General features: G+C 56.7%; 2 protein-coding genes across 4 annotated transcripts, besides 5 other annotated features; one reads left to right on the top strand and one right to left on the bottom strand.

The window, feature by feature from the left end:
- SLURP1 (secreted LY6/PLAUR domain containing 1) lies at positions 7,732–9,189 on the top strand. Its single transcript, NM_020427.3, has 3 exons — positions 7,732–7,810; positions 8,216–8,335; positions 8,862–9,189. Exons 1-3 carry the CDS (start codon positions 7,753–7,755, stop codon positions 8,993–8,995), a joined length of 312 nt encoding a protein of 103 aa, NP_065160.1. The 5' UTR covers positions 7,732–7,752; the 3' UTR covers positions 8,996–9,189.
- Positions 10,535–10,614: a silencer, noted in NCBI's record as "silent region_19607". NCBI's record gives its function as "represses an Ori minimal core promoter by ATAC-STARR-seq in GM12878 lymphoblastoid cells {active_cell/tissue: GM12878}" and the evidence as "EXISTENCE:reporter gene assay evidence [ECO:0000049][PMID:35858748]".
- Positions 10,655–10,934: a silencer, noted in NCBI's record as "silent region_19606". NCBI's record gives its function as "represses an Ori minimal core promoter by ATAC-STARR-seq in GM12878 lymphoblastoid cells {active_cell/tissue: GM12878}" and the evidence as "EXISTENCE:reporter gene assay evidence [ECO:0000049][PMID:35858748]".
- Positions 11,183–11,749: an enhancer, noted in NCBI's record as "H3K4me1 hESC enhancer chr8:143819807-143820373 (GRCh37/hg19 assembly coordinates)". NCBI's record gives its function as "activates a minimal SCP1, AML or CMV promoter by ChIP-STARR-seq in naive and primed H9 embryonic stem cells {active_cell/tissue: H9 hESC(naive and primed)}" and the evidence as "EXISTENCE:reporter gene assay evidence [ECO:0000049][PMID:30033119]".
- Positions 13,211–22,915, bottom strand: THEM6 (thioesterase superfamily member 6). 3 transcript variants are annotated; one of them, NR_156431.2, is made up of 3 exons: positions 22,279–22,915; positions 20,648–21,177; positions 13,211–14,812 (listed from the first exon to the last, which is right to left on the bottom strand). NR_156431.2 is itself a non-coding variant. In NM_016647.3 (2 exons), exons 1-2 carry the CDS (start codon positions 22,789–22,791, stop codon positions 14,699–14,701), a joined length of 627 nt encoding a protein of 208 aa, NP_057731.1. In that variant the 5' UTR covers positions 22,792–22,915; the 3' UTR covers positions 13,211–14,698. The 3 variants fall into 3 exon arrangements, 2 of the variants coding, with proteins under 2 accessions (NP_057731.1, NP_001349929.1); NM_016647.3 differs by lacking the exon at positions 20,648–21,177; NM_001363000.2 differs by lacking the exon at positions 20,648–21,177 and having other exon boundaries at positions 22,438–22,915.
- Positions 22,170–22,419: a silencer, noted in NCBI's record as "silent region_19605". NCBI's record gives its function as "represses an Ori minimal core promoter by ATAC-STARR-seq in GM12878 lymphoblastoid cells {active_cell/tissue: GM12878}" and the evidence as "EXISTENCE:reporter gene assay evidence [ECO:0000049][PMID:35858748]".
- Positions 22,720–23,159: a silencer, noted in NCBI's record as "silent region_19604". NCBI's record gives its function as "represses an Ori minimal core promoter by ATAC-STARR-seq in GM12878 lymphoblastoid cells {active_cell/tissue: GM12878}" and the evidence as "EXISTENCE:reporter gene assay evidence [ECO:0000049][PMID:35858748]".

Below are 23,159 nucleotides of genomic sequence, written 5' to 3'. Positions count from 1 at the left end.
GTGTCTGTCTCTCTTCCTGCCTTCCTGTGATGTTAAGCTCTATCCCATCGTGAGAACAGCCACTGGGCCTGGGACCCCCACACAAACCATGCAGATCTCTGCCCTCAGGGGATGTGGGGGCCTGACCAGGGTGGGGCAGCAGCTGAGACCCTTCGGCAAGGGAGCACCACATCTACCAGGGTGAAGTCAGGGCCATCTCCTTGGAGGAGGGGGCATTAGGGCCAAGCCTTGAAGGATGGAGAGATCTGGCAGGCCTTGAGGAGGGCAAGGCATGTCAGGTGGAAGGAAGGTCAAGGCAGTGACCAGGAGCTGGGGTTGTCCTCTGGAGCACCCCACTACCCACCTCCCCAGCCTGAGCAGGGCCTTGCCCCAAGGCTGATGGCGGAGGCTGCTTTGAGGAGGAGACCATAGGCTGGATCCCAGTGTGTCCACTGCCTGCCTCTCCAGGCTCACCCCACATGTCCACCTAACATCCCTGCCCTCACTCAGCTCTGCTCCCAGGGGTCAGGTGCCCAGGGGGTCAGATGCCCAGGGCAGCCACAAGTTCTGGTGCAGAAGGGGCCTTCATTTCACCTTGGCCCTAGGCCAGTGCCCCAGTCCTCCAGGCAACTCTCCAGGGAGTCCTCTGCCCTAGAAGCCTCCAGGCTGAGACTCCCCATGATCACAGGCATGGACACGCATGCACACACATGCACGTGGTCCTAGAAACACACAAGGAACTCAAGGACATGAGGAAGGACAGGACCCAGTGGCCCTCCTACCCAGCGCCGGCTCCTCCCAAGGGCTGCCCAAGGGAGGTCGTGGCAGGAGATGGGCCCCAGCCTGGCTAGGAGAGGAGAATGTTCACCCTGGAAACTGCCACTCCTCCTGGGCCCTGCAGACCCCCACTGAGCCTACCCACCTCACCCTTCCTGCTCCAGCAGCTGTTTCTGGGCCCCTGGGTGTCACCCTCCTGGGGCTAGACCTGTAGTCCACAGTGGGCGCTATGGTCCAGGGCCTGCTCCCAGGGGCCCCACCACCCGGAGCACAGCCACCATCTGTCAGAGACGCCTTGGTGGTAAAATGAGGGCAGCCTCCTGGAGAGGAAGGGGCCCGGGAGGCTGGGAACATTCTAGTGCTGTCTTGGATGCCCCATCCGGGCTGTGACCCTGAGCTCTGATTTTGTCAAGAGGGAGACATGCTCTCAGCCATCAAACGTCACAGCTCTCAGCTGGCTTTTCTCAAGACTCCCACAAAGTGGCCTCAAAGCCTAGGCTGAGACTCTATTTACACATACACACACACCCCCTACAAACACACATGCATTTCACAACCCCTCACAGAGACTGGGAGCAAGGCCTATCTGTGACCAGAGATCAGGACTCAGCCTGGAAACAGGATCAGGGCTCAGCCTGGAATCAGGATCAGGGCTTAGTCTTTGGCCATTGATCAGGGCTCAGTCTGTAAGCAGTGCCAGGCCTTGATCTATGATTGATGTCCTGGCTCCATGTGTGAGCCTGTGGCTCAGCCACGGAGTATGACTCAGTCAAGGGCCAAGGATCAGGATTCAATCTGTAACTAGGGTCCAGGCTCAGTGTGTGATTGTGTGATCAGGAAAAGGCTTCAGTCAATGATAGGGAAAGGGGCTCAGCTCAGGCCCAAGCACAGGCTATGAGTGAGGCCCAATCCAAGCCTTAGAGCCCTATCTTTGACCTTAACCTCACCATCCATGATGCCACCTTTTGGGTACCTGTCCCTGAGATTCCCTATGACCCAAGTCCTTCATCCAGGCTTACTCCTCAGCTTGCCAGTGGGGTAGGAGAGGCTTATAGTGAGGTGCCAGGGCAGGGACCCAGGGCCCCACCAGTGCAGTGCCCTGGGCAGTTTCACAGCCTGTAGAAATGGGCAGGGCAGGACATGGCTTGATGGGAAGAGGAAGAGCCAGTGGTTCCAGATTTTGGTTAGAAGAGGAGCCAGGAGCAGGCAGGCGAGGGGAGCAGTTGAACTCAGTGTCTGGTGGTGCAGGCCACTCCCACCCCTGGCGGGCTGATGGAGTGGGCTCTGCTCCTCTCTAGGAACTGCCAGCTCTAGCACCCTCTGCCCTGGCCCCATTACATCTGGCCCTGAAATCAGAGGAATGATGAGACCACCTTGCCAGCCGTCCTCTTTTTCTCTTCTACTCCTGACTTCCCCAAGGCCATCTGCTGCGACCTTCCAGAACAGGATGAACACCTGCCACACTTCCTCAGGGAGCAGGGCCCAGCCCACCCCAGGGCAGGGATGTCTGGATCTCAAATGCAGACAATACAGTCAGGACAAGGCTGGAGCCCAGCACTAACCTTCAAGAGGACAAAGCACCCTCAGGACCTCAGCCACCACCTCCCATAACTCAGCATTAGCAATCCCCCCACCCCACTGCCAGGACATCTTCCTCGGCCTCAGCCCTGTGCCCACTGTCATCATGCCATCTAAGCCACCAGCCAATGTCCCTGGGTAGCTATCACAGCCACCTCCAGCTCCTTGCCTCCCCCTCTCTACCCTAGCCCACTGTTAAATCAGCAGCCAAACCTGAGAGCTCACTCAGTGCCTGTCTATGCAAAAAACCTCAATCCTCCAAGGAACTTGACTAGCTATCAGACTCGCCTGTGAGATGTAATTGGCTCTGCAGCCTGGATACAGGGTCAGAACCAAGGCTGCGGGTGTCAGACTGGCAAGTCTGAGCTCCCATGGAAGAAGGCCTGAAACAGGTCTGTCCCAGTGGGGCAGGTACTGCCCTGAGAAGGAGTAAGATTCCCATTCCCAGGGGTGTCCAAACCTGTGCTAAGTTTTGTCAGAGAGGCTGCAAGAGCATTTGTACCCTGGGGAGAAGTCAACCTGAATGCCCACAAATACCCATCCTGGGTCACCTTGGAAGAAACAACATTAAGCCTGTCTTTAACTACTCATCCATCCATCCATTCATCCATCCATCCATCCATCCATCCATCCATCCCTCCTCCACCCACCCACTCATCCATCCATCTCCCCTTTTAGCCATACATTATTCACCTATCCATCCTTCTACCCATATGCCCACCCACCCATCCATCACTCTCTCCATCCATCCACCCATCCCCTATCCATTTATCTATCCATCCATCCATTCACTCATCCATCCACCATCCATCCATCCACTCATCCATCCACCCATCCATCCGTCTTCTGTCCAGTCTCCATTCATTCACTCATCCATTCATCCCCCATCCATCGACCCATCCACCCACCCCTGCATCTATCCCTCTTCTGTCCCCCATCCATCCACCCACCCATCCATCCACTCACCCATCCATCCATGCATGCACCCACCCATTCATCCATCCATCCCCCATCCATCCACCCATGCACCTACCCATTCATCCATCTATCCCCCTTCCATCTCCCCATCCATCCATCCATCCATCCTCCATCCATCCCCCATCTATCTATCCACCCATCCATCCATCCATCCATCCTCCAGCAAATGCTGCTCAACAGTCAGCATGGTCAGACCCAGGCTGTGGGAGAAGGATTCTTAGAGGAATGGAAACATGTTCTACTTGAGGAGATGACAGTCCAGTAGTCCCTCAGGCCAGCCCAGACAGGGCAAGCATCAAACACCAACAGTGGTGGTGGGGCTTTTTGACTGCATGCTGAAGGCAGTGGAGAGCCAGGGAGCGTTTCTGGGAAGAGCAGTGCCATAAGCCAGTTTGCATTTTAGCTGGTCTCTCTGAGTGGAGGGTGGAGAGTGTAGCCAAGGAGAAAGGGCCAGGCCTCTGGGAAAGAGACCGGGCTGACATGGCAGATAGCTGGGGCTTGGTGTGAACTGGCTCAGTGCTGCAGGCCTATCATGGATGAGAACTCTGGGGTTTGGGGGATTGAGCTGCCTTCAAAAAACCTGGTCTCCTGGTTCCACATGTCGGGAAAAGGTGTGGATTCATGGAGAGGCAGGAGGAGGGGAGGGCAGTCACCTAACTAGGGCATAAATTCTCCCTGCTTGAGTTGTGTCTGACACAGTGCTGCTTTTCCACCTGCCAATAGGGTGCTGGGCTCAGGGATGGGCCAAGTTAGTGCCCACTCTTCCCACACAGCGGAAAGGCTGCCTGTGCCCCTCTGCTGGCTGCTACTCCCACCCAGAGCACCCTCTGAGGACTTCCCTCCCTTTCAAAGCCAATGTGAGCAGCAGCTGAGAGCAGTACCCCTGTCCTCAGCATCCGCCCACCTCTGCCCCAAGTACACCTGCACTGTGATCAGCACAGAGCTGAGTTGAAAGCTTGATGGAGGCCCATCCTTTGCCAGATACTTGCTAGTTTTCACAACCACCCTCTGGCAGATGTTCCCCTGACCAGTTTATAGATGAAAGAACGTGGGGTGAGAGTCCTTGTGAGTAGACATGGGCTTCACGGGAGGCCGGGTGGAGCTCAGGCTCCAGAACCGGACAGTCTCTGACTCCTCTCGAAACACCTGGGTGTGTCTGTGGACCAAGCCCTGGGGAGAGGCTGCTCTTGGTTGCCATCTGTGCACCAACCCATGTCAGCCCCTTTGTTTGATTTGCAGTAACTACGCCCTCCCTTGGCTTTCTTGCAACCATCCCACAGCCTCACACAACTCACCTCAGCCCACAAGGCCAGGTCACTTCAGCTTTCACAACTACAAACAGAAAACCAAAGACTGGAAGGAAAAAGGGGCCACACCAAGGCCACAAATGGAGAGAGCAGTAGGCCAAGACCAGAACCCAGGACTCCTGGTGCCAGCCCAGAGCTCCTTCCAGCATCGAATTCTGCCTCGGAAGGGCCCATTCACTACACATTTGTCTGCCGCCACTTTTATAGCCACCCATCCCTCCATCCCTGAATTCTCCCATCCATTCATTCATTTTTTCACACATCAACTCTCTCAAATGTCATTCATTTAATAATCCATCCACCCATCTTGCCCCCATTCATCCATCCATCCTCCACCCACCTATCCACCCATCCTCCATCCATCCATCCTTCTGAAATCCATCCATCCACACATCTATCCAACATCCATCCATGCATCCACCCACCCATCCTCTGCCCATCCACCCATCCGTCCCCATCCATCCACTCATCCTCCCCTCATCCCCCACGCATCCACCCATCCATCCTCCACCCATTCCCCATCCATCCCCCACCCATCCACCCATCCATCCCCCACTTATCCATCTACCCATCCATCCACCCATCCATCCATCTATCCATCCCCCACCCATCCTCCATTCATCCCCCACCCATCCATCTATCCATCCCCCACCCATCCATCTATCCATCCCCCACCCATCCACCCATATATCCTCCACCCATTCCCCATCCATCCCCCATCCATCCCATATTCATCCCTCACTCATCCATCTACCCATCCATCCACCCATCCATCCATCCACCCATCCATCCATCTATCCATCCCCCACCCATCCTCCACTCATCCCCCACCCGTCCACCCATACATCCTCCACCCATTCCCCATCCATCCCCCATCCATCCCATATTCATCCTCCACTTATCCATCTACCCATCCATCCACCCATCCATCCATCCACCCATCCATCCATCTATCCATCTACCCATCCAGCCACCTATCCATCCCACACTCATCCTCCACTCATCCCCCACCCATCCACCCATACATCCTCCACCCATTTCCCATCCATCCCCCATCTATCCACCCATCCATCCATCTATCCATCCCATATTCATCCCCCACTCATCCATCCACCCATCCATCCACCCATCCTCCACTCATCCCCCACCCATCCACCCATATATCCTTCACCCATTTCCCATTCATCCCCCATCCATCCATCCAATCCATCCCCCATCCATTCCATATTCATCCCCCACTCATCCATCTACCCATCCATCCATCTATCCATCCATCCATCTATCCATCCATCCCCCACCCATCCTCTATTCATCCCCTACCCATCCACCCATACATCCTCCACCCATTTCCTATCCATCCCCCATCCATCCACCCATCCATCCATCTATCCATCTACCCATCCAGCCATCTATCCATCCCCCACTCATCCTCCACTCATCCCCCACCCATCCACCCATACATCCTCCACCCATTCCCCATCCATCCCTCATCCATTCCATATTCATCCCCCACTCATCCATCCACCCATCCATCCACCCATCCATCCATCTATCCATCCATCCCCCACCCATCCTTCATTCATCCCTGACCCATCCACCCATACATCCTCCACCCATTTCCCATCCATCTCCCACCATCCACCCATCCATCCCATATTCATCCCCCACTCATCAGCTACCCATCCATCCACCCATCCATCCATCCACCCAACCATCCCCAACCCATCCTCCATTCATCCCCCACCCATCCACCCATCCATCCTCCACCCATTTCCCATCCATCCCCCATCCATCCAACCATCCATCCCCCATCCATCCCATATTCATCCCCCACTCATCCATCTACCCATCCATCCACCCATCCATCCATCCATCCACCTATCCATCCATCTATGCATCCATCCCCCACCCATCCTCCATTCATCCCCAACTTATCCACCCATACATCCTTCACCCATTTCCTATCCATCTCTTACCATCCATCCATCCATCCCATATTCATCCCCCACTAATCCATCTACCCATCCATCCACCCATCCACTCATGCATCCACCCATCCATCTCCCATTCATTTACCCATCCATCCCCCACCCATCTATCCATCCATCCCCTATCCATCGCCTATTCATCCCCCATTCATCCATCCCCCATCCATCCATCCATCAACTCATCCATCTATACAACCACCCATTGGGACATCACAGGACAGAGAAACCAGAGAGGCTGGTATACCTGGAAGGACTGTGGAGAGGGGCACCTTAGTGGGTCTCACAGCATGGGGAAGATGTGGGACATCAGATGGGAGACCAGGCAATGTGGTCATTGAGCGGTATGGCATAGGCAGGCATGCGTGTGGAACAGGGTGTCGTGGGGGGCACGCAGTAAAGAGCAGACAACACAGTCAGGCCAGGAGGCTGGAGGGTGAGCAGAACCTTATTGTCAGGCGCCTAAAATCAAGAAACTCAGGTTTGGTCTAAAGGCCATTAGTGGGAAGGGGCTGGCAGTGATGAGGGGCCACTCCTGGGCCCAACCTTGTCAGCCTGAGAGTGGTCTAGCTGGCCCATGCTACCCTCACCTGACACCTGCTTCCTACCTCTGGTTTCTACTTTGCAGGTGTGTATCAGGTGTACACAGACCAGGTAGAGGTCTGTGGAGAGGGCTGCAGGCCAGGCTGCAGGGAAGGGGTGCCAGGCGGGGCTAGAGCAACAAGGGCAGAGGCTACACTGAACCTGGGTCTTAAGGGTCCCCCAGGCTGGGGCTGGGTGGCCTATGTGAACCCCAGAGGCACAGCCAGGACATGGGGGCTCATCAGAGGGGCAGTCTGAGCTCAGCAGGAAAGGCCTTCTCTGTCAGAGCTGTCCCAGGACCACTGGACATGGCTGAGGAACAGTGAGTTCCCCAGTGTTGGAGGTGTGCAAGCAGAGGCCTGGCCATCGTCCTCAGACAGAGCTCCCAGATCCAGCTCCCTGCCCGTCTGCCATGTTCCTGCCAGCTGCCTCCCCACTGGGCCCTTTACCACGTTCCTGACTCACACGGCCGGTTCTGCCACCGCCCAGAAGCCGGTGCCCAAGGGCCTGGGTATAAATCCTTGATGTGAGGCTGGCTACCTCTCATCACTTCTGAGCACGGAGCAATGGCCTCTCGCTGGGCTGTGCAGCTGCTGCTCGTGGCAGCCTGGAGCATGGGCTGTGGTGAGTGGGCCGCAGGCTGGTGGGGACCCTGCCTCTGAGCTTGTCTGCCCACCTCCTAGGGGGATGGGGCTGTTGGGGGTGCTTTGTGGCTGAGAGCCTCCTTAGGCCTCCATGAGGCTCACCCTCCTCATTCTCAGTGAGCCTCCTGGGTCCCAGAGCCCAGCTTCACCCTGGGACAGGGGTCACGGCTCCACTCTGCAGGAAGGGAGACTGAGGCTTGGTGGAGGGATGCAGCATTCAAGTCTGTGGCTCAGCTCAGTTAGAGAAAGCTGCCAGAGAGGCCCCTTGAAGGGCTGCCCGGGGCCTTGAAAGATGTCAGCGAGACTCCTTCAGCCCCTGCCTCCTGGTTCCAGGATGAGGCCACCGAGGTCAGGTGATGAGGTTCTGCCCCCATCCCTCACCCAGGTGAGGCCCTCAAGTGCTACACCTGCAAGGAGCCCATGACCAGTGCTTCCTGCAGGACCATTACCCGCTGCAAGCCAGAGGACACAGCCTGCATGACCACGCTGGTGACGGTGGAGGCAGGTGAGGCCAGGCCCCACGGCAGCCCTGGGTGCACTGGAGTCAGGGCCACCTCCCCCAAGTGCCTCCCTCCTTTGCTGGTGCTCCTCCCGGCCCAAAAGGCAGCAGGTGGGATGGGCAGAACAGGCTGCCACACCTTGGCAGGGGTGCCTTCCACGAGGGTGGCACAGCCCCCTCAGAGACCCAGTCCTGGGGCACCAGGCGCTGGAGGTGGGTGGGGCTTAATGGCCGGGGTACCCTGGGGGGCTCAAACCCCAGCTCTGACACAGACCCACTGGGTGGTGTTGCCACAGCCTCTGGGCTCGGGCTCCCATCTCAGCGCAGGCACTTCAGAGGTCTGACAAGGCCTAATAATTCATGAACAGGTCACAGTCAGAGGAGGGCTGGGCCCTGGGTGGCTTCACAGATGTGGACTATTGGGAACAGGGATCACAGGGAGGGTGAGGTCAGGCGACGGCGGCTGGGAGCAGTGCAGCAGCAGGCAGGCGCTGCAGGGGAGTGAGGGTTCTGACACTGGCCCACCCTGCAGAGTACCCCTTCAACCAGAGCCCCGTGGTGACCCGCTCCTGCTCCAGCTCCTGTGTGGCCACCGACCCCGACAGCATCGGGGCCGCCCACCTGATCTTCTGCTGCTTCCGAGACCTCTGCAACTCGGAACTCTGAACCCAGGGCGGCAGGGCGGAAGGTGCTCCTCAGGCACCTCCTCTCTGACGGGGCCTGGCTCCACCTGTGATCACCTCCCCCTGCTTCCTGCTGCTGTGGCACAGCTCACTCATGGGGTCTGAGGGGAGAGAAGCACACCAGGGGCGCCCTCTGCCTTCCATACCCCACGCTTATAAAACATAACTAAGCCAAGAGTGGACATGACTTTTGTCCTTCCTGGGCACTGACACCCTACAGAACTGGCCTTCAGGAGAGCCAGGCTGAAGGACAGCACATTCTAGGCACCTGCTCCTCCCTCTCACCCAGAGCCTCTGTGACCCATTTCACAGATAGGAAAACAGAGACTTAGGGGAAGAAATGCCTCCTGGGCCCCTTTCCTGATGCAAACTAGCCTGGCATCTCAGACCAGGACCTGTACCCTAGCCCAGGGAACATCTCCCGCTAAGAATCTCCCCTGTAAACCCTGGAGACATCGCTCCCACCCTAGAGAGGGAAGGAAGCTCAGAGTTGGCATCCACTTTCCTCCAAGGGTGGATACATCTGGCTCTGCCTGCCCAGCCCAAGGGGTCTTCCTGGGTGTGTGCACCTGGGCCTGCTGGTACCACACAGCTCCACGGTTTCAGTCACCTCCTCTGACAACTGCCCACTGTCCCCTTGGGACAGCTGAGATTAGCGGAGGAGCCCCGGGTTCTCAGGACCCAGGAGACCTGACTTCCAGGCTCGCTTCCCCCTCTTCCTGGCCCTGGCTGTCCCATCACAGTCACAGTGCTCTGTGCCACTGTCACCCCTGTCGGCAGGTGGGCAGAGCCAACGGGGAGCACGGGCTGCTGTGGGCCTGAGCCACCCCTGGACACTGCCCCTCTCCAGGCCCCAGTCCCCTGGTGTCTCCTGGGCTGCACACCATCTAAGCGCTGCCCAGCTAGGTCTTGGGTTCTAAGGCCCCACACATCAGCTGGGTCACGCCCGTGGGGTCTTGTGGGCACCTGTGCCTGCTGGGGTGGGAGCGGTATGCAGCAGGCTGTGGTCAGACCAGCTGGGCATACCCGAGGAGCATGCGGGAGTAACCAGGGCAGTGGCGGGGGTCGCCTAGGACCCCTGTGAGAGCCCACCTCTGTCTATGAAGGGCCCAGATGTCAGAACCCACCCCCTACCTCTACGCCCTCCCAGAAATACCAGGAATTAAATGCTGTCCCTGGGGAGCAGCCCCGACCAGAGAAAGCTGCCAGAGAGGCCCCCTTGAAGGGCTACCCCGGGCCTCCCCGTTGGCCAGCACCGGGCCGGCGGCGTGGCTTCCGGTTAGGGCCCGTCCCCTGGGTCATGGCCGGACCTCCAAGGGCCTCACCCGGGCCTCGATTGGAGCCAAGGGGGCAGGGCCTTGGCCTCACCAGGGGGACGGAGCAAGAAGTCGCCGCATCTCTGGCAGCGTCCCCAGCGGCACAATGGGGATGAGGCCTCCAGGCTCTTTGGGAGCGCAGTGGTGAAGGCTCAGCAGGTGCCCCTATCCCTGGGAGGGCACCTGCGAGGGGCCCCCGATGCTGAGCCCGCACGGCCAGCAGAGGGCGCGCGCCCGAGTCCCGGAACCCGCGCCAGGAAGACTCGTCCCAGAGCGCGCACCGCGAGCACGCGGCGACCCTGTGCGCTCTGCCCGGAACCTGCACTGCGCGCGCAGCTGGGCCGCCTGGACCGTAGGGGTCCGCAGCACAGAGTTCAGAGAGCCCTGGCCCTCTCGGCCGGCCTGGAGGACGCCCACCTGCCCTGCCTGTCGCCGCGACCCTCCCAGGAAATGCGTGGGGAGGCCACGGCCAGGGAGGGACCTCGGGAGGGCGCGCCCACGGGGTGGGGCTCGCGGAGGCCAGGCGCTCACCACCCGGGCGCGCGGGGTCTAGGGAGGTGAGTGGGCGTCGCATCCGTGACCGTCGCAGGACGTGGGTAAAGCTGGCGGGGAAGCAGCCAGCCGCCAAGAGGTGGCGGTGGAGGGGAGGGAGAAGGGCGCCCACCCGTGCCGCTAGGCCCTACTGCGCGGAGGGGAAGCAGAGGCCCTTCTGAACCCCACTACCGCGGAGAGGTCAGACCAGCCAGCGCTAGTCTTCCGCAGCTTTAAGAAATCTCTAAAGGAGAGGGGTGTGCAGACCGCAGGGCGTCCCTCCCCGCCCTCAGGAGCAAGACCCTCCACCTCCCCAAGGGTGCCCCCAACTCGCAGGTGTCCAGAGGGGAAGTCATGCGGGGAGCGGCGGCCTGGGCCTGGGACGAATCAGCCCCTTTGGCCTGCCTCGTTGAGCCCCTGGCGGCCATACTGGGAATTCCCTGCCCTAGTCTGTTTCCCTATCCATGAGGTGGGCGATGGTCCTGCTGTCCCAGAATTCCGGACACCAGGCACAGTAGAACTCCACTCAGCAAGGCCTCAGATGTGGGGATCTGTGTCCCTGGGCCCTGAGGGGACACAACAGTGGCCAGTCAGCTGACTGAGCCCAGAGGCGGTGGCTGGATGCTGAGACTGAGCAGGCAACTGACCTAGGGTGAGCCCCGGGGACACCCACCAAAGCAGTCGTGACTCTGTCCACCTGGCCATCAGAGGGCACAGTGCCTCCTCCCCCAGGACGACGGACCCATGCACAGCCACCACCCCAGGACCTCCGGACACACTCCCATACCCTGTACCTGTCCCTTCTTCACCAGCATCCACCAAGGGCTTCCTGGGCCCGACACCTGGACACTGTGCAGACACCTCCGGGGGTGGGGGCGGCTGGGGCAGAAATTCTGCAGCTGTTGGCCTTGGGGGAAGGACGCGGGCCGAAGCAGTTGCTGCCCTCTAACTTCTCCGAGTGGCAGGCTCACAGGAGCAGAGTGGGCTCCAGTGGCTCCGCCAGGACAAGGCACTGGTTCACTTCCAATCCCAGCCACCCATTCCCTGACCCGGGCCAGTCCTGTCGTCAGCCCGTCCTCCAAAAACAAGACCAAGAGAGGGCCCTGCTGGCTCAAACCTTCCTCTGAGCCAGCCTATGACAGCCCAGGGTGTTCAGCTTCTGCATGGAGAGAGAAGCCCCAGAGGCTTGCGGGTGCTGCCCATTCAACCACCTTGAAGCTTGCCCGTTGCCTGCGTGCACGTGCGCACACACACACACACACACACAAATGCACACAGGCACGCACATCCATATGCGCACTGGATACACTCATTCCTAGTCCAGTCACTGAGCCCTACTCCCTATCCAGGCCAATGTGCCTTCCACGACCCAGAGGTAGCTGCTGAGCCAGGGACCGCAGTGGCATCATCACATGGTGCCCTCCCAAGGCCCAGGCACCCTGTCCTGTGGCCCCCGCCCTGCTCCAGGGCTCAGGCAGATGGTCAGGACCATCAGCTGGACGGCATCCCTACAGCTTCATCTGCAGCCCCACTGGGAAGCTTGTCTGGCAACACTCAGCTCACACACCTGTGGCGACCCCACGAGCCACCTCCCCCAAGGACCCCAGAGAAAGCACAGAGGCTTCTGGCCAACCAGTCTGGCTACAGACCCCAGATTTGCTGAGCAAGTTTGCTTCCCCTCCCCAGCCCTACTGCCCCATCACTAAATGCCGGTTTCATAGCTGTTTCCAACTGCCCACTCCTTCCCTGGCCCTCAGAGCCTTCTGGACCCTCCCAGGAAGGTGGTCACAGCATGGACGTGGCCACACCCCGCCTCACTCAACTTTATGTCCCGGAGGGTCCCACTTCTCCCCACCCCTTTTGAAGGGCCTGCAGAACAGCCCCCATGCTCTCTCTGCCTCCTGTCCACCCACCAGTCCATTGACCTCTGCCCCCAATGGCTACCAGCACCCTGCCCGAGGCTCTGGGAGCCTGGAGGGCCAGACCCAGAGTCTGAGGCATGACCGCCAGGGTAATCCCTGAAGGAGGGAAACCGGGAACCTGGCGCTGGCATCTGTAGATGGGGCTGCAAGCCTCGAGAGCTGGGAACCAGGAGGGCCGGAGCAGGAAGGGCTGGCTCCCCAGGGGGCTTTGGACAGCACCTTCTTGGCCTCAGTCCTATGCCCCATGGGATGAGGACAAGCCCTGCCCTGCCAGCCTGATCCCTAAGTTCACGGGAGCCCAACAAACCTGGATAGCCCCCCATGCCAGACACCCATCTTGGGAATGTGCCCCAGCTTCCCTGGTCCCACCTCCGCCCCTGCATGGATGGTGGTGGTGGTAGCTCAGAAACAAGGCCCTCCCCAGCACGCTTGCAATGAAAACCCTTTAATGTTGGGCTTTCTTTAAATAAAACAGAAAGGTTGCAGCTTTCCCATGGTGGCTGTAAGGCAAGAACAGCAGTGAGGGCGGGCGTGTTCTATCGGGCAGTGCTGCAGCCCTTGACTCTGGCTCAAGGTGGGCTTCCTGGAGGCAGCGGCAAGGAGGCAGTTCTGGATGTGCAGGCACAGATGTAGGGGAACAGGCAAGCGGGCACAGGGCCCTGAGCTGACAAGCAGTGACCCCTGCACCCAGCTAGATGGGGCACCCCCTCTCTGGGAGCTGAGGGCATCAGCTGGAGCCTCAGGCTGGGACCAGCCCCAACTTTGCCTTGGTGACTCTGGGCCATTCCAGGCCTCAGTTTCCCCAGCTGTAAGGTGAGGCATTAGGCAGGAGGGGGTGGCCCCAGCCAGTGTCCTAGTAGCCTGGTGTCTCCATTAGGGAGACCTGAGAAGCTGCCAGGAGAGGCTCTGCTAGCGCAAGGCAGGGCCGGCCCAGCAGCTGACAAGGAACATGCTGAATATAGAGGACAGAGGAGTTAAGAAGACGCCTGCCGGCCAGGCCAGAGAGGGGCAGCTCTAAGGGGGTACAGCGGCCTGTGGTGCTGTAGGCCCAGAAAGGGTGGGGATCAGCCCAAGTCACAGAGCATGGCCCTGGTGGGCGGCGAGGGGTGCGAGTGGACAAGGACACCCCTGCAGAGTCCCACCCCCACTCTATTCCCTCCAACAAGGGAACGCCCAGCAGGAAGCCTGCTGTCTTTCCAGGAGCCCCTGTGCCACCTAGTCTGACCCCTCTCAGCCACAAGGCTACCCTCCCGTCCAGCCTGACTGGAGGTAGAGGAGGAGGAGGAGGCAAGGCCGACTGCAGTGGGGAGCCCGGGTGCCCCGTCCTCTGTCAGCAAATGCCTCCCTTCCATCTGCCTCTAGCCCCGGCCTCTGACCACCCAGGCTCTGCCCCAGGCCTGCAACCACCTCAGCGGAAGCCAGAGGGGCTGCCTGGCAGATGCCGCTCTGACCCTTCAGGAGTGCCCACTGCACCTGAATCAGGCCCAGGCCCTGGAGAGCCCAGGCCTGTACCCAGGATGCTCTGGTCTGGCCCTGCCTCGGCCCTTGCAGTGGTCCGAGCCAGGATCTAGGCTCGGGAGGCACTTGTGGGTCCCTCTGCTCCAGGCACCATCCTCCCCTACCTAGGCCCACATGAGTGGCCTCATCGTAGGGCCAGGCAGGACTCTCCTTTGCCCATCCATCCCCACCTTGAGGGCAGAGCTGGGTCAGGATGCCAATGCCACTCCTCCTTCTGCCTAGCGTGGAGCCCAGCACAGAGGGGTATCAATAACTGGGGGGGCCCAGTGGGTGGAGCAGGGTGGGCCAGGCTGGTCAGGAGGCTACTCCAGCTGGAACAGAGTATGGCTGAGACTGCCCATCTGTGGGCAGCCCCCAGGCCCAGGATGGTGGCCAGGGCAGACGGTGTGAAGGTGGCGGTCACTGGTCCTTGGTGACATCACTGAGCCCACTCTCCATGCGGAGCAGCTGGCTGCTGGCCTCGTTGTAGGAGATCCAGTGCTGCAGATCAGCGGGCAGCTCAGGGGGCTCCACCTGCAGAGGACAGAAAGGGGACACCCAGCTAAGCTACGGCCTTCCCACCTCTGGGCCGCTGCCCACACTGCTCCCCAGCCCGTGACCTTCCAAGATCCCCTGCCCCGCCGCCTGCCATGCTTTGCCCATGCCTCCCCAGGCTCTGCACACTTGTGCTACCCCTGCATACCCACCTTGACACAGCCCCGCTTGTGCCTGGCCCGTCTCCCCTAGGGGCCATCCCCAGAACCCAGCCAGAAACCCGTGAAGTTGGCAGGTTGGGAAGGGCAGAGAGGAAATCCAGAGGCCTCAGGGTGACAGGGGACAGAGGGGTGGAGGGCCAGCATGGGAGCCCTCCTCCAGGAAAGTACCAGACAGGGCTCACTGAGTTCTCTTCTTTCTCCAGGGCACCCAGAGGATGGCACTTCATCCCCCAGGGCAGCCTGGGCCTGACCACTCCACTATCAACCCTCTCCACACACACAGCCACCATGTGGCAATGGGAGCCAGGCTCCAGGCCACTCCTGAGGGGTCCACAGCCTTGCAGATGGGCATTGGGAGCTCCCAGGATGAGGGGACAGGCCAGGCACAGGCCCACCCCCACTTCAGGGTGAGCAGCACACAGAGGTGCTCAGAGATAAAGCCCAGACCTTCCCTGCAGATGAGTCGTGACCCCCATGGCAAGTCCCAGCAGAGCTGGGCCTGGACTCTCCCCTGGACCACTCCCCTCCCCACCTAGTTTCAACCATGTGACCAACACTCACCCCAGCCCAGCTCTTCCTCTTTGGCCACATCACCGCAGGCCAGCCTCTCAACATGCAAGACCCAACCCTGGCTCAGCCTGCCCAAACTGCAGCCGCGGTCTTTCCACATCATCGACAGAGTCTCTGCTGTTCTGGGTCCCAGCCTTCACCTCCCACAGGGACCTCACCAACCAGCCCATGCCTGATTTTATCACTCCCTCTTTCCCAGAAAAGCAACCCTGGCTCCCCATCTCCTCGGCCTCCGTGCCCGGCTCTCAGCCTTGGTGGCCTTTGCCTCTGGACTCTAGATGCATGAAAGACATAGAGTCCAGCACCTGGGGACAGAGAGAGATCTAGGCCTTTTAGGGGGTTCCTGACTGTAAACCAAAAATAACATCGGAAGGTACCCCCAACCATCTGAATGAACTTCCTCCAATAGGCCAGGGCCCTCCACATTTAACCAGAAAGACTAGCCCAGGCCATGATAGAAGAGGGTGTGGGACAGGCCTGTTATGCCCTCCAGCATTAACAACACAGACCTTAAGTCCGACAAGAAACATTTATGATCTATTCCCTCTGAAGCCTGCAGCCTGGAGGCTTCATCTGCATAATAAAACCTAGGTCTCCACAACCAGTATCTTAACCCAGACATGCCTTTCTACTGATAATAGCTCTTTCAACCAACTGCCAATCAGAAAACTTTTACATCTACCATGACCTGAAAGCCCCCCTTCCAGATGGCATCAATGTGAATCTTACATGTACTGACAGATGTATTGTGCCTCCCTGAGATGTATAAAAGCAAGCTGTGCCCCGACCACCTTGGGCACATGTTGTCAGGACTGGTGAGTCCTTATCCTTGGCAAAGTAAACTTTCTAAATTGACTGAGACATATCTCCGATACTTTTTGGTTCACATGACTCAACAGAAACAGAAGACCAGGGAGCCGTGTAGCTTTGTGCAGTGCCATAGCTCCTCTGAGCCTCAGTTTCCCCATTCCTGACATGACCTCTCAGTGTCAGAGGCGCTGGAACCAGAGCGACTCCATTTTGAGTGAGGGCTGGGAAATGAGGCTGGGGCCTGCTGGGCTGCATCCCCAGAAAGAGGCATTCCGAGCCTCTAGATGTTTAGTTGTAAAGTAGAGGTTCCTCTTCAAAGACTTTCCTACCGATCTAATTAGGAATAAATAGTAACTTCTCTTAGAAGCAAAATTTATTCAAAGACCTGTGCTAACATTATTAAATATCTGCTAGCAGTAATAAAGAAAGCAATGTACTACTTTAGGTTCTTAGCTCCCACAATTTAGCCTAAATATTTGCCCTGGCATGCTTATACTGGTCCAAGCGGGCATTAGGTCATAGCCTGTTCCTCTTCCTTATTTGAAGGTGTTTTTACCTTTCTCAGCATTCCACAAATTACTTCCTTCCTTTGTTCTCCTCTGCCTTTGCCTCTTTTAAAAAGTTGTACGTTGCTAGCCAATCGGGACAGATACAGAATGTGAGGTCCCATCCCAGTCAATGGAAACCAGAGACGGCAATAGGGTGGACGCGTCAGGTTATAAATGACCCTGTTTCCTTTGTTGGGTGAACTCTTGTGGCAAAGCTGATGGCAAGTGTGTCCTTTCTGCAGGAAGTAAAAATGTCCTTGCTGAGTAAATTAAATTTATGTTCAACTGCTGTTTCTTTACGGCACCGGGGAACAAGCATTTCAAACAATTTGGTGGCAATCCGTACAGGGCTACATTCTCCTGCGGGGGCGGTCTCTGTTCCTCTCTCATGAGGGAGCACGCTCCTCTGCCTCACTGCAGTGGCCTCAGGGATGAGAAATTGAGACCCACCTGGTGTGACGAATAAACCCGGACTCTCAGCAATGCAGAAAAAAAAAAAAAAAAGAAACTGGCCAGCAACCTAAGGTAAAGGATGCTCACATACCAGGGCTGCAACTCTGTGCACAGACCAAGGAAGGAGAAGCCACAGAAGCTGGTAAAGTACTTCCTTGGTGGTGAAATTCTGGAGGGCTGAATGTGTGTATGTGTGAATGATCACAGACAACCCTGCTTGCAGTGTGGTTTGTGTGGACGGTGACAAGTCCTCCTGCTGGACAGTGAGTGGGTCCCCTCCATGGTTCCGGTTCTGTAGTGACCTCATATGGCTTAGGGCAGGTCCTGCTGTGGGATTTATACCAGCACGCCTACACTAAGAGGGGCCTAATTCTCCCTTGGGGGGGCGACCAGAGAGGACAACACAAGTGGGAAGTATGCAAGGGACCTTTGGGGGGAAAGGAGGAAACAGGTCAACCTCCCAGGGCAGGCAAGGCAAGACACCCCTGGTTTGAGGGGTTAAGTCTTCCATTAATTTCAGGGGGTTGAACCTCACACAAACCTCCAGTAGTTAAAATATATATATATATATATATATATATATATATATATATATATATATTCAAAACTCCCTTTTCCCCTCTTCACAGGGAAAGAAAAAGGCTAAGCTTCACTCCCGCTGGTTGGTCCCCCAGGGGAAGGGGAAGGAGAGGGGGGAAAACAGCAGCATAGGTGGCTGGCAGAGACAAAGGAAAGACCAGCAGACAGGAAAAAGAACTAGGAGAGGAAGTCAGAAAAAAAGAAAGCAAAAACAGCAAGCACAGCGGCGCCAGGAAGAGAGCAGAGGAGGTGAGAGGGCATAATTCTTGCAATTTGTGGCAGGCATCTGCCAAGCCTCTGGGCTGCCGGGGCCGGACTGCAGCCATGCAAATCCCACCCAGCCCGAGAAACTAAGTGTAGGAAGAAAGGGGAAAAAAAGTAAAAAGGGGAATGGTGGGGGTGGATAGAGAAACTGACGGCAGTGCATGCCCAGGGGCTGGTGCCATTGCCCGGCCCTGCTGCTGCAGGAGCGGGAGAACTCAGGAGGGAAGAAGGAAGCAGGGGATGAAGAGAGTGAAGAGAGAGAAGAGACAGAAAGAGATTAAAATACAGAGGGAAAGAATAAGAGAGAAACTGGAAGAGACAGAAATCAAAGGAAGACATAGAGGGTGAAACTGAGAAAAAGAAATAGCGTAAAAGGCAGGCAGAAAGTTAAGACATGTTGAAGATTGTGAAAGTTGTAAGAAAAGCTATAAAAGGGAATTTATGCAAGAAATAGTGTATAATTTAAAAGTAATTAGGCCTCCTGAATGTAAAATTATTTAAAAAAAAACAGTTTATATACAAGGTATGTCAGAAAAATAAAATAATACTTTTAATAACAGGATTATAAGGAGACATAATATGGATTTTTACCTACATTAAAAGGTTAAAAAATATATTTTGTTTTAAAGGTTTAAGCAAGTTTTAAAATGTTAATTGTAAAGGAAATTCTGTGTGTAAACATATTGGCTAAAGCTAAAGGGGTATCATGCAGTTTTTCTGTGAACTGGATGTTAAAAGCACAATAGATTTTTCTTAAAGCACTAACCCGCTCTTTAACAAAAATTATAAAAGCTTAAAAAGAGTCTATAAAAATCTTACCCTATAGTCAGACATTAAAATTGAATAAATAATGTCTACAAGATTTTATTAAGTTTGGCCGGGCACGGTGGCTCACGCCTGTAATCCCAGCACTTTGGAAGGCTGAGGCGGGCGGATCACGAGGTCAGGAGATCGAGACTATCCTGGCTAACACGGTGAAACCCCATCTCCACTAAAAAATACAAAAAATTAGCTGGGCATGGTGGCGGGCGCCTGTAGTCCCAGCTACTCAGGAGGCTGAGGCAGGAGAATGGCGTGAACCCGGGAGGCGGAGCTTGCGGTGAGCTGAGATTGCGCCACTGCACTCCAGCCTGGGCGACAGAGCAAGACTCTGTCTCAAAAAAAAAAAAAAAAGATTTTATTAAGTTTAACATTAATAGCACATTAGTATAAAGGTAAAATTTAACTTATCTGGTATAAAATCATACAAAAAGCACTGTCAAATATAAAATGGTGTTTAGCTTTCTTAAGGCCTGAAGGTGGCCAGGTAAGTCACAAGGCCCCTCATGTCCAAGGCCACAGTGCACAGGGGCAGTGAAGGCCCCAAGAAGGCCAAGAGCTTAAGAGGAGGCAGGGCCGCAGTGTCCCCTGGGCGGCGCTGAGCAGGAATGGAGCGGGAGGCATCACCATGGGGCCTCAAGCCCCAGGATATGCAGCAAAAATGATATACTTAATTTATCTTCCAGTTTCCCTTCCCTCAGAACTAAAAGACTTTTAGTTCTAGGTACCACCCCTAGAATTTCCAGTACACCAGCACCAGCCTGAAAACCACGTCCTCATCAAAAGACAGAAAGAAAAAACTTGAGCCAGCCTGGGAAGAACCCTATTTTATGCTGTTAACCACTGAGACTGCCATCCGCAGAGCCAAGAAAAAAACGACCACACTCCAGTCAAGAAAACATCTTTCTCTCAGAATCATGGATGACTGTACTAGGACCAATCCTACTAAGTTAAAGTTAAAGAAAGCTTAATTTTCCTGTACCTTCATATTGCTTCCTTTCCTTATTGTTACTAGCGCCTTTGTTATTACTGTAACTAACTCACCTCAGACCACCGCCTTGAATGCTTGTTCTGTCATACCTTGCGGAAATGTAAAAGATCAACAACAGCTAGCCTTTTCACACAAATGCTTACGTCCCAGCCCTCTGATGGACATGGTTACCCCTAGCTCTCATTATCGTAATGACCTGCAGCCAAGATGCCAATGTTCTGCTCCTATAGCCTGCCAACTTTGTAGTAAACGGGACTATACACATTCAACTGCTCAGGAGCAAAGTTAAACTTCCAAGAAAAAGGTCTGTGCAGATCTAAAACCCCTCATCTATTTCACTGAAAGGACTACCCTTTCGAACTGTCAGCCTTATCAGTGTAACCCTGTCCTTCTCTATCACCACCTCCACCTTAACTAACTCTAGACCTGCCCTCAGTCGCTTCTGTGGTATGGGGATTGACATAAATGGAAAAGACCCCCTAGGTATTTTTTAAATACGCATTATTCCCCCATCTCCCCCTTCTTCAGTAGCCTCAGTTCTAGATCTCACACCGGTTGCTTCTACATCTAATAATAAAACTAGGGTGTCTATTGTAAAAATAAGAGATCTAAAACAGACCTTAGCCATCGAGAGAGTATCAAGATGCAAATCCCTGGCTGAAATGGATTAAATATTCCGTTCGCACTTTAAATAAAAGCGATTGTTACACATCAGGTTATAAATGAGCCTGTCTCCTTTGTTCGGTGTACTCTCATGGCAAAGCTGCTGGCGAGTGTACCCTTTCTGCAGGAAGTAAAAATGGCCTTGCTGAGGAAATTAAATTTATGTTCACGTGCTATTTCTTTACGGCACCGGGGAACAAGCGTTTCAAACACAGTTAAGGGAACAAATTAATAATGTTTACTAAAGAGACCCAGACTTGGGAGTGTCCAGATATCCCGATGTCTGGAGAACAAAGGCATTCCTGATTTTGAAACCCCGTCTCTACTAAAAATACAAAAAATTAGCCGGGCGTGGTGGCTGGCGCCGTAGTCCCAGCTAGTGGGGAGGCTGAAGCAGGAGAATGGCGTGAACCCGGAAGGCGGAGGTTGCAGTGAGCCGAGATCACGCCACTGCACTCCAGCCTGGGCGACAGAGTGAGAATCCGTCTGAAAAAAAAAAAAAAAAAAAAGAAAATAGTAATATTGATTCTTGCAAAATATAGTAATTAAGAAAATTACTCCTTTATCACAAACCCTTGTAGCAGATCACATCTCCCCATATATACAAGCATTGCACCTAGGGTGGACGCGTTCCTCCTCTTACAGGAACATGCTACTGGGTCTACGGACCAGCTATTCTTTCACCGCTTTACCTTAATAAACTTGCTTTCACTGTGCGCTGCAGACTCGCCCTGAGTTCTTTCTTACACAAGATCCAAGAACCCTCCCTTGAGGTCTGGATCTGAATCCCTTTCCTGTAACATCAGGACTGAGATGAGACGTTGACCCTCGTCTGCTCGGGAGGCACCTGTCCGAGACCGGAGAGGGCAGTGCCCTAAGGGCACACCAGGGGTGCACAGGCCCTGGCTTCCTGCACGGACGCTCCAGGCAACTTTTCTGGCAACTGGTCTGGCCACATCGGCCTGGTGGCCGTCCCCAGGGCCCCAGGTGCCATGCTGCAGGGGCGGTTCTGCCCTGCTGGGAGGAGCGAGCCCTGGGAGGTGCATGGCCCTCCTCTCTCCAACTGCAGAAAGGCCAGAAGGCTTTCAGCTACTCGGCTCAATACCTCAACCCCAAACCCAGGTGACCAGAACCCAGCCCTTCAGCTCTAAGCTGTGTGAAAGGGGGGCTCAGGTCCTCGGGAACTCCTAGGAACCTCTTCTAACTGATCACCTCTCCAACCTATATTCAGGACCAAGGACCAGAGAGGTCAACACTCCAGCCACAGAACAGAGTACCAGGAGAGAGGAGAGGGGTGAACACGAAACCGTGAGGGGCCAGGTTAAGAAATGGCAGGAGGGAAGCACGCTAAGCCCGACTATGAAGAGTTGATTCGGGGACCCTAGGAACCCCCACGAACAAAGGCATCAGTGAGGAATGCCCCCGGTAGAGAGGGAGGGGCGGGAGCGGTAAGAGGCAGGACTCCAGCAGTATCCGAAAGAGGTGCAGGCAGCGGGCCTTCCCTAGGGGAGGGGGCCAGGGACTAGGAGGAGCCCCCGGAGGTCCCACAAAGGCCGTGCTCCGGGGCCAGGGGCGGGGGCCGCTCACCCTGCGCTGGCACAGGTGCTGCACGACGCGCTCGGGTGAGGTGCCCAGCAGGTGCTGCCGGAAGCGCAGCAGCGCGCACACGAAGCCGTCCCGCAGGCTGACAAAGCGCGCCTCCAGGTAGAACGCGCGGTCGTCCCAGCCCAGCAGGCGGGTGCGCACCTCGAAGGGCTCCAGCAGGCGCAGCGAGCGGCGGTGGCGCGCGCACGAGGCCGCCAGCACCGTGTGCGCCCGCAACTCCCTCAGCGCCCCGAGCACCCCGCAGCGGGTCAGGTGCGCGACGCGCGCAAAGTCGGCCTCGCGCAGGTAGCGCGCGTTGTTCATGTGCAGCAGCAGGTCCAAGTCCGAGGGCAGCACGCGGCCCGGGAAGCGCTGCTCAGCTAGCAGGTCACGGACGCGCGGCTGCAGCAGGCGCGCGCGCAGCACGGCGCACGGAAGGCGCACCAGGTACCAGACGTCCAGCAGCGCAAAGACAGCGAGCCCCAGGGCCAGCAACGCCACCAGCAGCCCCAGCATAGCGGCGGCGGCGGGCGCGGGGTCCTGCGGAGTCCGTGGCGCCGGTGCCGGTGTCCGCGGCGCTGGTTACGGTGCCCGCCAGGCCTCCTGGGAACTCACGAGCGCAGCGCGCCCGGAGCGAACCACAGCGCGAGGGCGGCCGAGGGGGAGGGGCCCGGAGCCCCGCCCACCGTGGCGCGACCTTCTCAGCGCCCTACGTGGTCCGTCCCGCCGTCCAGGCCCGCGCCACTTTCGCGTTCCCTGGGGCGGGGCGGGCGGCGCGCTGAGCGCCACAGCGGCACCTGGCGGCCGTGCGCGGCGCTGCAGGCGCGAGGGTGCACGCGCGCCCCGGCGTCTCCGCCTTCCCAGCAGCGCGAGACCCTCGCCAG

Source organism: Homo sapiens, chromosome 8, assembly GCF_000001405.40.
Source record: "Homo sapiens chromosome 8, GRCh38.p14 Primary Assembly".
Lineage (NCBI taxonomy): Eukaryota > Metazoa > Chordata > Mammalia > Primates > Hominidae > Homo > Homo sapiens.
The sequence above is the reverse complement of the archived record's forward strand: the minus strand, read 5'-3'. Positions and strand labels throughout refer to the sequence as shown.